We start from the raw sequence: 14343 nt of genomic DNA on the forward strand, positions 1-14343 counted from the left end.
TACAACAAAGAGGAAACAACCCAAACTACCACGGCCATATTTGCTAAGTTTATGTCTCTTACAAAGAACCAGTATTCTATTTTATTAGCTCTATAGTATTTTTAATTCTAGTTTATTAATTTAATTATATAATTTTCATTCATTCCTTTATTATACCCTCTTTTGAGGGTATAATTTAATTATAAATATAAATAAATAAATAATTATAAATAAATTATAAATTATAAATATTAATTTATCTGTCATGTAGGGTCCACACTCCTTGTAGGGCTATTTCTGAGGCTTGTCATTTCTATCAGCTCTCACTCTGCTTGTCCCCTGCTGTATTTGGTAATTGTCCCATGGTGAACTCAAATTGCCTGGCCTCCATCTGAGACACCACTGAGGTGCCTGAGCTATAGGTGTGGTTCTCCACTGCGTTTATGTTTCCACAATGCAGGAGATCATGCTGCTCTGAGACACTGGAAACGCAGTTTTTCATCTTGGCATAAATAGCAAAATTCAGTAATAGTCATAAGAGCAGCATAAATTCACCTCCGAGTCTATGAGAGGACAGACCTATGGGTACACATCCTTGGGGGAGAAACTCGTCCCCTCCAGAATCCAGGTTTCTTTGCTCCTAGGTGTATTTACCTCCTGCCTGCCCTCTGCCCACTCAAAACCACCCTTTCTCTGAGTCTGTGGCACAGTTAGGATCCTGGTTTAACGCAAATCTGTCAGTTTCACATTCCCACCTTCCTGGGAGATCTGCCTATTTGCTGTGTGAACTGAAAGTCCTTTGTCTTCTGGGTCTATGGGCCCTTCAATATTGTGTCAATGGCATCAGGAAACCCAGCCCTGAGAGTGATCTTCTTTACCTCGAGGGCCCCTCTTGGTGCCTGGCAGGCGCCCTGAATGGGAACCAGGAGGACCGCTGGATGGGGGTCTGATGACATGAGTACACAGGGTGAGGACACTTGAGAAACCAAAATGTCCATCACAAGGCAGAGTCACAGGGAAGTGACCCACCCTACTCCCCACCTGCGAAAAACAAACCTCTGAAGTTATTTGATGACATGAAGTGTTTCAAAGAATGAGTGTGAGTTTGGAGGAAGGCAAGCATTAAAGGTCACATCCAGGATCTGAATGGCTTGACCAGGCTCTGGTGACAAGAACTGGACACTTCCAGAAATTCAGGCCTGGATGAGCACAGATGGTCTGGTGTCTGCTCGAGGTCTCTGCCTCTCTCTTCATCCTTGTACCCAATCCTCCTCTGTGCCCAGCCCTGGACTGCACCCTGGGAACAGAGATGTGAACTGAGTACAGCTCCTGCCCTAGAAAAGTGAGATCACTGGTAAAGGGGGCACAGATGGTAGCTCCCGTCAGAGAGAAGAGGGCTGATTTGAGGACACGCTGCTGGAGGATTCATTTGTTCCATAAATGTTTATTGAGCATTGACTCTGTTTCCAGGCACTCTTCTCGGTGGAGAAACAAAAGCTAGAGAACAAGACCCCTGTTCTCATGAGCTTCTCGTTCTACAGGGATGGGGGGTGGTTGATGGTCAATAAATATGAAACCAAATAAGCAAAGATACAGGGAGATGTCTGGAGAGAGGGAGCAGCAGGTGCCAACATCCACATTCAGCTTTGGATTGAAGTCAGCTGCAAATACCCCTTCCCCTTGTGCCTGGCCCTGTGAGGTGCCCAAAGAAGACATTTGACAAACATTCTAAATGAGAAAAGAGGAAGGAGGTGACTCAGTGCTAGGGGTATTTAGTCTCTCCACCCCAGTCCTGCAATAAACAAAACACAAATGGAAGTAGTCCGATCAACTGATACAAAGATGTGTACACATGTGCGTGTTTGTGTGCGTGTGTTTGTATGTGTGTGTGTGTGTGTGCATGCGTTTGTCTGGTGGAAAATCTATGCATTCTTCTGAAAATAAATATCTGAAGAAAACTACCCTGGGAACCTGTGACTCTGGAAGCTCAGAGGCGCTGAGTCATAGAGATGGATGCCTGAGAGGGGGTAGTAGAGGAGGGGGTTAGGGCACTAATGTAGAGAGCCACCCAGTGCTGTGCTGGAGACCCTGCCAGCAGCCCTGGAGAGCTGCCCAGGACACAGTAGTTCTAAGGATGGTTGATTATTAATCTGGGGTTGAAGGCCAATCCAGTGCTGTCCCTGGTCATCACACTGATTGGATTGGACATCGCTGAGGCACCTGCCAGAGGCCTAGGCTGGAGAGCCAGCTTCCCTGTCACTAACTCCAGGCTCTGAAGAAGCCCTAGTAAGTCATTTCTGGAGGAAAGAGGTGGGGGCCTGGGCCAAGAGACTGGCCTCTTGACTGGATCCTGGTGAGGTCCAGGTAGGGGTTTAGGGGGGTCATCAGGTCCACCTGGGGCCTCTCTTTCTTTCTGGCCCAAGCAACTGGGAACTTCCTGTATCTACTTGGCCATCAGCAAACTAAAGTGTGGTCTTTGCCAAAGTGAAGAATAGAAGTGGCATGTGCACGCTAGCGACAGGTACAAGCCTTGACTGTGGCATCCTATGCCAATTCAGCGCCAACAGGAGAGGTTTAAAAGAGACAAAAATGATAGAAAGAGGAAAGTTGGAGAAGGACATGACCATAAAAGTTTCCTTCCAACTGGGCATCTCTCACTGCATCTTGGAGGAAGGGAAGAGTTAAGGGACTGCGGCTGGGATAGCAAGGGCAGACACAGTGTTGGACGGCAAGAGCCGGGACATTAGGATTCGAGGATGGAGCAGAGCAGAGGGAGAGTCCTGTGGGGTCCCAGCTGCCAAGTGTCCTGGAGGACAGGCCAGCCTGGACAAAGGCTGGAAGGGACTCTGATGGCTGGGTAGGGGCACAGAGCTGGGGGGCATCTGGGCAGCCTCCAGGAGGGGGAGTAGGAGCTGAATCCCTCCAGACTCAGGCTGAGCAGAAATTTCAGAGCCTGGTTGGTGAAACGGCCTCTCAGTGGAAGATCTCAAACCAAGAGAAGTCTCATCTGGACAGGATCAATCACCAAAAAAGGTCCCATTTTGAGGGTCAGAATCCTGCCTCAGGGCACTCTAGGTCCCAATCCTACAGCAAGTGCCTGTCACAAAATAGACATTATGCAAGATGGTCAAGAAGCAACTGGGGAAACAAGGGCTGCTCTGAGGACAGAGCCCCACCATGTCAATCAGGGAGCTTTATAGGAAATGAGAGAGTGGATATCATCAACCAAAGGGGACATGTGCCATCTACCTGGGCTCAATGGGGGTTTCCCAATGGATTCTTTGTAAATAGGCGTTGCACATATCTGTTTTTTTTTTAAGCTTTCCTTTATAACTTCCAGACCTACTTCTGATGGTGATGAATTTCTTTCAAAACCTAACCCTAGATATGGGGTCAGCTTTAGGCAAAATTAAGAGTTGCTAGCTAACAAAAGTAGCTAATATTTTAATGAAATGTCTTATTATTAAGCAAAATGCCCTCACACTGTTAAACTTGTGCTTCTCTCACCTCTTCCTTCTGTCTCTCTTTTTAATACCTTGATGCAGCAGCAATGGATGGTGGGATGCTCTCAAGGCAGTCAGAGTTCCACTTGAGTTCATGTAGCATCTGTTATAACAAGGTTAAAATTACAGAAAGTATACGATTTTATTCCCTTTAGCTGAAGGACAACAAAGGTGGATTTTCATGTTTCCTTGTAAAGTGCTGCTTCAGAGAAAGCACATTTTGGTATCCACTAATCCCAAGTAAAGTGACTTGGTTCCTAATGTTGATTTTGCCATTAGCCTTTGTTAGGTTATTTATTCTTTAAGCCCATCAACCCTTCAGTTAGTCTTCATTCTGCCTATTTGTTGTTGAAATTTAAAAGGCCTCCTAGTAGCTCCAATAGTTATAGTATAATAGAAACAAGCAAATACTCCTTTAAAAAAATTCTATGAGGGTAAAAACACTTGGATTCAAAAGTGAGTTTGAACAATATCTACCAAGTGGTAATTAGATAGACTTTTAAACTAAAAATACACCACAAGACTATTGCACACTTCTACTAAGGTCTCAAGGATTATTGAAAAGTAAAAAGAAAAAAATAGTGGGAACTTCTTTTAGTTAAAATGCACATCTTATCAGGATTACCATAATAATAGTAATTGTAACCTTTAGTTTGAATTTCTTTTCTGGAAATATAAAGTCTTAGGGAATTGTGATATAAATCCCAAGGCTAAAATAGGTGTCCACTTATCATTCTAATTTTTATTTGATAATAGTCTTCCTAAATAGACTATTATAAAATGGAAGGAGCAAGTTGGAAAACTTAACTCTGAAGAGCGGGCATTTCTAATTAGGAAGCTGTAGGAGAAAAGGCTTATGACTATCCAAAGCACTTAGGCATCTGATATATTATATGGAATGTCTTTCTCTTTTCCCTTAGTTATCAAAGAGAGAACAAGTTGAATGGTATTAAAACAAGAAAAAATAGTCTTAGTTGGATTAAATAGGACTTCAAGGGGCTCTCTGACAGATACACTCATGAAATTATGACATAACTCTGCAAACTTAATATGTGAAATAAAAAACATGTAGAAGACACAAGATTCTAAGGGGAACTCAAGGATTTTCTAAGATTGTTTTACATAACTGCCTCTTTTTTCCAAACTTTACCTTCTGTATCAACAAGCCATGATATAACAGCATCAAGGGCTAGACAGTCCAATGGCAAGAATGCTGACAAAGGTAGTTGTATAAGAATGAGTCGCCGGGTGTGGTGGCTCATGCCTGTAATCCCAGCACTTTGGGAGGCCGAGGTGGGTGGATCTCGAAGTCAGGAGATCGAGACCATCCTGGCTAACATGGTGAAACCCCGTCTCTATTAAAAATACAAAAAAAAAAAAAAAATTAGTCGGGCATCGTGGAGGACATCTGTAGTCCCAGCTACTCGGGAGGCTGAGGCGGGAGAATGGCGTGAACCCGGGAGGTGGAGGTTGCAGTGAGCTGAGATTGTGCACTGCACTCTAGCCTGGGTGACTGAGCAAGACTCCATCTCAAAAAAAAAAAAGAATGAGTCATATTTTGAAGGACAAATGGTTAATACCTTCTTTCTTGCTTTTTTATATTGGCATTTTTTTCTATGTTTTGGAGGAATTGAGGATTAGAAGGTTATTTATGAGAGTATGACTTGTAAGAGTATAGGCAAATTTAACTCAATTCATTAAATAGTTATTGAATCTGCAAAACATTATGGAGGATATAGAAAATTGTTACAGTATGAATCTTATCCTCAAGGAGCATAATCTTCTCCCAATATGAAGTTTAAGAGACTACCAAAAAACAATCTTCTTGTTAGAACAGATTATAATGGATTTTGCTCCTAAATCCAATGTAATAATGACACATTTAGAAACTGAGATAAAAATGTGAAATAAGACTTAGAACTTATTTGATATAAAATTTACTGGGCAAATCTATTGATAGCAGATATTATGTAGAATTTAAATTCCCCTACCTCAACTGGAAAGTAATAAGGTCTCATTATTATCTTATACTCATGCAATCCAGTGCGTTTTCAGTTAACCCTTGAACAACACAGTGGTTAGGGTGCTGACCTCTATGAAGTCAAAAATCACTGTATCACTTTTGACTTTAACTGCTGGTAATATAATAATAGCCTACCGTTGATCAGAAGCCTTTCCAATAACATAAACAATTAATTAACATATGTCATGCATGTTATATGTATTATACACTGCATTCTCACAATAAAGTAAGTGAGAGAAAATGTTATTAAGAGAATTATAGGATCTTCACTATTCACTGAGCGGAAATGGATCATCATAAAGGTCTTCATCCTCATCATCTTCATGTTGAGTAGGCTGAGGCACAAGAAGAGGAGGGATTGATCTTGCTGTCTCAGGGATGGCAGAGGCAGAAGAAAATCTATGTATCTGTGAACCCATGCAGTTCAAACCTATATTGTTCAAAGGTAAACTGTATATGGAAATTATAGAGGGGGAATACAATTAAATTAACTAACTTAATATTTAAGTAAATAATTTAGAGACTCAAAACCAAGAAGAGGGCAATATACAAATCTACACAAATGAATTGTTTAGAGTGTGGGGTGTGTGTGTGTGTGTATGTGTGTGTCCGTGTGTGACAGAGAGGAAGAAAGAAAGAGATTACATGAAAATGGAAATGTGGATCTTTTCATAGTAATAGAGGGGTGAAAATGTCCAAAAATAAATTTGCTAACTCTTGAGTAAACTGAAATGCACATATGAAAGCTTTGTAATTCATCCATGAACTTATAAGCACACATATACATACACTCCCCCACACACACCACACACACATTTATGCACTTGTAGAGATGTAGATAAATAGGCAGATAGATATAGACCACTTCTGTAGTAGTTAAAATCATTACCAATAGTAAAATATGAAAAAATTGTATGGTGAGAATAAGAAGATATTTAATTAAATTAATTATTATTAGAAATATATAGAGAGAAGCAGTAATGAGAGCTTGTAACTACCAGAATAAAAGTTGCTTCAGTTTCTAAATTTTCAAATCCCAAACCCTATGTTTCCCAGAAGGCTAACCCTTGAGTGCGAAAAAGTGTCATCTTAGAAATGACATACCATCACTACTGGCATATTCTACTGGTCATATAGATGAACCGTGGTACACTGAGAGGGGAAACTACACCAGTGCATGAATACCAGGAGGTAATGTTCATTGGGGTCCTTCTTAGAGGCCAGTTACTGTAGACTGCTCTCTGGCTCCAAGTAATGCACACACCTCACTAATTGTATCCTAAGTCTACCAAAGCTTCATCTCATCACAGCATTAGTTTGAAGTCTAGAATCTTGTCGTTTAAATCAGGTCTCGCTGCAAATACAACTCCTTGAGTACAGTTTGTCTTGATTTGAAGTCCTTTGAAACTAAAGAAACAACTTACCTATCTTTCACACATCCATCATAAAATGATGAGACAGGCATAGAATAATCATCATAGGCACTCTGACTTAATAGAAGAAAAAAGGAGACATACAGAAGTCAGCAGTCAATGAGAGTTCTGAAATCTAGCTGGGAAAATGTTAATTTTTTCTTTTTTTTTTTTTGATGAGGATTTAATCCTACTCCTACCCATTAATGGCTATTTCTTGATTCCACTGTCTGGCCTCAGTTCTATCCTTCAAAATAGCCCTCCTTTTTCATAAAAGTTAGAACATATTTAAGTCGAGTACTTTACTCAGCCTGCTATCTGCTTAAAGAAATTTGGGTAGCCCACTTTAAAATAACTCTGGATTATTCAGTTTAAATTATCAATATTTTTACATATGTAATTTACCTTCAAATTTTTGTAGATTTACTGTGAATCTTACTGAGATTCACTCATACACAAAGGGTAACTCAGTAACCTTTTCAGAAATATGCTCTTCTCGTTCTTGAACTTTTGTTGAGGAGGCTGTAGAGCAATGCTGCGAGCTTCCTGCAGGTTCTATTGTTCGATTGAGTTATCTGTATATCATATACTTTATATTTTAGAGGACCGTTTGTCTAGCTAAATGGCATTCCAAAGCACAACCTTTGATCTTTCTGCAACATATGGAAAATTTTACAGTTATCTTTTTGGCTACAATTTTGGACCATACTTTCCTGGCAGTGCCCTGGATTCTATCTTTGCTTGAAAGCCATTTATTGATTTCAGCATTATTTGCCATCTGGTGAATCTCAGAATTTTCAAAGCCATTACATCCATTATTTTTAAGTTAATATTATTTATTTATTCATAAAAACAAAGGGAACATATATGCAAAAATAGAACCTTTTGAACTCTACAGAATGTTTTAATCAAAACTAGGTTAACAAGTAATTATTGAACATCACTTTTATGTTATGCAATCTATTCTGTGATGTAAAAAGAGATACAAAGTACTTACTCCCATAGTGATTGCATTATATTTGCTGTAGACAAATATTAAGTAAATTCATATTTTTTGGATTTTAGCAAGTACATTGAACAAACAAATCGGGGGCAATATGAGTATTGACTGGTAGTCTCTGTTTCAGCTAAGATAGTCAGGGAATGGACATGATGACTGTGTTAGTCAAGGTATCTAGAGGAACAGAAAAAATATGTATATATACACATCCATGTATATTCAAAGTAGGCAGCCCTCATCCACTCAAGGACTTTGCTTCCTCTTTTAGGGAAGGGGTTAGTGCATTTTTGGTTGCCACAGGATAGTTGTATCACATCAGGCAGAACTATGACCTTGCTATTTTCTTTAATTGACAATTAAGTATGGTTTTAGGAGATACATGGCTGCCACGTTGACAGGGGATGAACTTGTAATAGCTAATTTTATGTGTTGATTTGACTAGGCTATGAGTACCCAGATATGCTGACAAATGTTATTAAGTGTATCTGCAAGGATGTTCTAGATAAGATTAATATTTAAATTCATGGAGTGAGGAAAGCAGATTGTTCTCTAGTGTAGGTAGCCCTTATCCAATCAATTGAAGAGGTGAATAGCACAAATAAAGTTGATTAAGAGAGGACTCCTTTTCAATGTTTCAAATAGAAACATTGTCTTTTCTTGCGTATCGAGCCTGCCAGCTTTTGGACTGAATCTTACTCTACCAGCTCTCCTGGTTCTCATGCCTTTGGACTAAAACTGGAACTACATTTCATCTCTCCTGTGTCTCCAGCTTGCCAACTGCAGATATTGAGACTTCTCAGCCTCTATAAGGATGGTGTGAGCCAATTTCTTATCATTTCTCTCTCATCATATGTGCCTCTAGATAACGTTGACTAATAGAGTCATCATGTCCATTCCATGACTATCTTAGCTGTATATACTGCTCTCAATATTGAAAGATAGAGAGAGAGAGAGAGAGAGAGAGAGAGAGAGATTACAAGAAATTGGCTCACATTATGGAGGCTGATAAGTCTCAATATCTGCAGTTGGCAAGCTGGAGACACAGAAAAGCTGAAGTTTAGTTCTAGTTTGAGTCCAAAGGCATGAGAACCAGGAGACCTGATAGTGTAAGCTTCAGTCCAAAAGCTGGCAAGCTCAGTACCTGAGAAAATCCATGTTTCCATTTGAATTTAAAAGCAAGAAAAGACCAATGGCCCAGCTCAGGTAGCCAGGCAAGAGGAGTCCTCCCTTAATCAACATTTTTGTGCTATTCAGGTCTTCAATTGACCGGATAAGGCCTACCTACTTTAGAGAGAACAATCTGCTTTATTCACTCTATGAATTTAAATATCAATCTCATCTAGAACATCCTTGCAGATACACTTAATAACATTTGTCAGCATATCTGGGTACTCATAGCCTAGTCAAATCAACACATAAAATTAGCTATTATAAGTTCATCCCCTGTCAACGTGGCAGCCATGTATCTCCTAAAACCATACTTAATTGTCAATTAAAGAAAATAGCAAGGTCATAATTCTGCCTGACAGGATACAACTACTCTGTATACAACCAAAAGTTGCACTAATCCCTTCCCAGAAAGAGGAAGCAAAGTCCTTGAGTAATGTTTACTCTTCTTGTTATCTCCTAACTTAAATACTATGATGTAAAATTAGCATTACTTAAATACTAGGAAACAAAGTCAGTACATCTCATATTATATGATAAAGTCATGAAAACAGGAAGCAACCGTCTTGCTACTGAGTCACTACAGGTAGGTAATAGTGAACTCTGTCACTCTCATTTACACTCCTTCATTCCTGGAGCCATGAATTCTACTATGGTAAAAACAGCACCATATATTGAATGCTGATTCAGAGCATATGCAGCCTTCTGGAGATTTTTTCCCAGTTCTGCAAGATATTGCCACCTAGCTGGTGCTGCAGCAGAGTTTTTAATACGCTATTCCACCATTCTATCAATCCAATTGCTTCAGGGTCATGGGCAATATGGTAAGACTATTGGATCATAAGCATGGGCCCATTGCTGACATCTATTGCTAGGAAGTGACTTATTTGATTACACGCAATGGTGTGTGGTACACTGTGATAGTGTATAAGACATTCGTAAGTCTCTTATGGTAGTTTGGGAAGAAGCACTGCATGCAGGGAAGGCAATCCATATTCAAAGTAAGTGTCTATTCCTATAAGAACAAAATGCTGCTACTTCCATGATGAAATTCATCCCATGTAATCAGCCTGCCCCCAGGCAGCCAGCCAATTACTCCAGGGAATGTCACCATATCAGGGGCTCAATGTTGTCCTCTGCTACTAGTAGACTGAGGAATCAAGTCAGGCTTGGTGAGTGGAAGTTCATATTGTTCACTATGTTTTAACACAGGCACACCAGCTGCTGCAGCTGGGACAGGAAGCTCCAGGTGCCAGCGTGAGTGCTAGCTCACTATAAGGCTTTGGCTAGACCAGCTTCCACAAGCAGCTTCCACAGCTGTTACAAGGGAACACAGTTGTACCTGGAAGCTTGCAGACTCCAGGAACCATAGGGTCCCATAGCGGGAGTCACAGCTCTGGCCTCGGGAGCTCCCAGGTCTGGGTTCCCATAGAGCCACAGCTCTTTTTTTCTTCTCTCTTCTTGTCATCCACAACATGGTGAGCAAGGGGTGTGTTTCACCCTTGTTTGTGTTACAGCATTTTTAACCCTGTCATTTGGCAGGTCCCAAGTTCTTGTCTTACCTCCAGGAATAATGAGGTATACAGACAAGTTGAGGGTGAGCAAAGAGGAGCTATATTGAGTGACAGAACAACTCAGAGGATGTCCTGGAGTGGGCACCTCCATTCTGCAGCTGGGCATCCCAACATCTGCATCTCTCAGAAGAGATGAGGCCCTGGAGTTGGTAGCTCCTCTCTGCAGCTGGTCGTCCCAATGTCTGCTCAGTTCTGGCTGAGCCTGGGGCTTTTATGGGTCTCAGAAAGGAAGAAATGCACACTGATTGGTCCATGAGAGGCCATGGGTGGCCCCAGAAAAGGCATCACAAGTTTACACTCTGGTTCACGGGACTGGCAGCCCAGACCCCAGCCTTCACACCCATCCTGGCCTGAAGGTAGGGCCTCACCAAGGACCCACCCCCTTCTGTGCAGGAGCCCGTCTGCCTCCTGCTGCCATTCATGGCACCCAGGCTATTTGTGCCAAAGGATGCCTGCAGGCCAGTGTCAAGCTGCCCTCAGCATCTCCTCAGCTTCCCTCCCATGCTTGTCAGTGCCCAAAGCCTGGGCAGAGGCCAGAGGCAGGATGGTACTGGTGTATCAGCACTGCCTCAAGCATGCGCACACCTACCAGGCTGCAACAGCACCTGGGCCTACCCACAACCTTGCTCCAAGATCAGAGCAGGTGTCAAGAGTGGTGAGGAGCCAGGCAACGGGAGCAGAAGATACCTCCAAGTCTGTAAGGGCCTGGGTTTTTTTCCTGTGCCCCCAAGAGTGTAGAGATGCCTGACTCTGCAGCCATGGCTTGGGCATCTGTAGTTGCACCTTGAAGGACAGGTCTCCTGCCTGCTCCATGGAATGGGAGGCCCAGGTCTGCAGCCACTACTTGGGCTGCTGCACCTGTTCCCAGGAAGCTCCAGCTCCACCAACTCAGGAGGGGCATGTTTCCCACTTGTCCCCAGCTCCTTGCCATGTTTCACCGCTGTAGCTGATGTGACAGCAGTGGCTGCTCCAGATGGGGTGCCGCTGCCATCATTATAGCAGTAGATTATTAGACTACAGTGTATTTTTACCAGGTAAGGTAAGGTTTTTATGGTTCGCTGAGGACAGTCAATCCCTTCATAAACTAGAACCTGAAGACTGATCTTCTGAGAACATCAAAGAAAGACTGTCATTGGCATCCACACTACAGCAAAACTTCAGGACCTTGAACCTTGGGTTCATAATCTCACAACTGAAAAGGCTCCCTTTACACTCTTGGAACTGTACACCCATTAGAAGCCTTAAAGAAAAGCTAACCAGGGAGGTTTCTCCCCAGAAGAAGATGGCATCCTTGATGTGAACAGGTTTTCCCAAGATCACGGATCAAGAGTTCTCTACTATCATGAGACTCTTATCTTTGATTATTTGTCCCTTGCTTATGCTTCTATGAATAATAGAGGTGAAAGGGTTCTCTTGTGTGCACTTATGGGGTATACTTTTATTTGTGAAGGATTTTGCAGCCAGCCTTATACATGGATAACCTTACACCTTAATAGACAAAAATGAAGGCCCAATGTAGATGAGAAACTTTAATGGTACGTACATTGCCTCATAATCAGTCAGAAACAGAACATTGATTTACTCCTTTTAGTCCACATCATGGGCTAAGGAGAACATTGCTGGGAGGATTTCACTCTTCTAAAAGGGCATCATTTGTTAGGTCCTTATTCCATAGTTTGGAATAAAAATGTCAATGATTAAAAATGTATCCCTCATGATAGGCTCTAAAGCAGATTCTACTGTAAAGGCTATGGTTACACACAAACTTTAAATTCTCTTGTGAAAGTTATGCTAAATAATACAATTGATCTGGATTAGTTACTGGCTAAACAGAAGTCTCTGTACAGATGTTGGCACTTATGGCCTATGGAGAAAACGTCACGTATTATAGAGATTTAGTTGTAGGGGATTAATGAAGATACTCCTTAGTTAAGTGAGTAGACTCTTCATATAGCTCATTCTTTGATCTATTTAATTTTAGGTGGTTTGGTTTATGTGGACCCCGGGTAAGGAGCATACTCCAAACTCTTGGTATTATCCTACTGATAGTCATAATAATAGTCTTTCTGGTGTGCTATATTCTCTTAAAAGTTTTAAGTGTTTGCATGCAGCCATCTCTAGAATGTCAAATGGTCTCTCTTTAACTGGAATGACAAGAGCTGAAAGAAATATGCAGCCATGAGGACACCGTGACTTATGAATGACATGCTGAGACCAGAAACCCAAAATGATGGTAACTGAGAGTGGTGCTAAGGCCCTAAGTTTGTTCACACTCTCACCTAAGTGAGAACATGACCTAAAAAAAAGGGGGATTCTTTTAAACGAAATTATGGGAGGCCATTGTTTTGGACTGAGCTAGGCCCCAATAGACCAAACCAAACAAAACTCGGGTTGCTTGTGCTAAATGTAACATAATCAAACTACGTTTGATCATGGAAAACATACAAACACATAGGTTCTACAACAGACCAGGTTTTGTTTTTCTTCTGTAAACAGAATGTTCCAGCATATGGATACACCCTCTACTCAGTCCTTGTTCACATCTTTGCCAAACTCACTGTTCTGCTCTTTCCCAGTAAGTTTCAAGAGCCATGGTAATAGTAACATCAGTAACTAAAGTTTTGGTCAATATCTCAAGATTGAGAAAATGACCCAAAGAGGGAAATTGTTAAATCAAGTTTAGCCTAAAGCTGCCTCCTTACATATTAAAGTTCAACCTAAAGGTTTTTCTGTACATCGTGAACTATAACAAGTGGAGTTGTAAACCAACTGTAGCCCACACCTGTACCAATCACTGAGTTTTGGCCAAATGTAGCTAACAGTTCCAACCATGTTCAAATAAGGCAAAGGCCCAGCTGCAACTAATCCAGTTGTTTCTGTACCTCACTTTCCTTTTGCTGTCCATAAATCTTCTTCCACCACGTGGCTGCGCTACAGTCTCTCTAAATCTGCTGTAATTCTGGGCGCTACCTGATTCTCCCATCATTCATTGCTCATACTACTTTAAATTTAATTTGGTTGAAATTTTTCTCTTAATGACAATCATAGAATCAGTGTAACAATCTGTCTTCAAAAGTAGTAAAGTGTGTTACTTCTATAGGAGAAAACAAGACATCTGTAATGATAAGCCAGAATGGTCACTGCAAACAGCAAGATGTATATTTAACTCAGCCTATTCTTGGTGTAAAATATATATATATAAAATTTAAAGTAGTTTGAGCAATGAACGATGGGAGAATCAGGCAGCGCCCAGAATTACAGCAGATTTAGAGAGACTGTAGCGCAGCCACGTGGTGGAAGAAGATTAATGGACAGCAAAAGGAAAAGTGAGGTACAGAAACAACTGGATTAGTTGCAGCTGGGCCTTTGCCTTATTTGAACATGGTTGGAACTGTTAGCTACATTTTTATATATATATTATATATAATATATTATATATAATATATATAATTTATGTATTATATATAATATATATAATTTATGTATTATATATGATATATAATTTATGTATTATATAATATATAATATATAATTTATGTATTATATATTATATATAATTCATAAATTATGTATAATATATAATATAATTTATATATTATATAATACATCTATATTTTTATATATTTTATATTTATATATATTTAACATTATATATATTTATATATATCTATATATTATATATATT

General features: G+C 40.5%; 1 long non-coding RNA gene across 1 annotated transcript in view; it reads right to left on the bottom strand.

The window, feature by feature from the left end:
• Positions 1-1407: 1407 nt before the first annotated feature.
• LINC02679 (long intergenic non-protein coding RNA 2679) overlaps positions 1408-14343 on the bottom strand; it is a 34429-nt gene continuing 21493 nt past the window's right edge. Inside the window, exons 2-4 of the long non-coding RNA NR_134315.1 lie at positions 4633-4837; positions 3487-3585; positions 1408-1707 (exon numbers count right to left, since the gene is read on the bottom strand). This is a non-coding gene — a long non-coding RNA (long intergenic non-protein coding RNA 2679). The remainder of the gene's footprint in view (positions 1708-3486; positions 3586-4632; positions 4838-14343) is intronic.

This window comes from Homo sapiens, chromosome 10 (assembly GCF_000001405.40).
Source record: "Homo sapiens chromosome 10, GRCh38.p14 Primary Assembly".
NCBI lineage: Eukaryota > Metazoa > Chordata > Mammalia > Primates > Hominidae > Homo > Homo sapiens.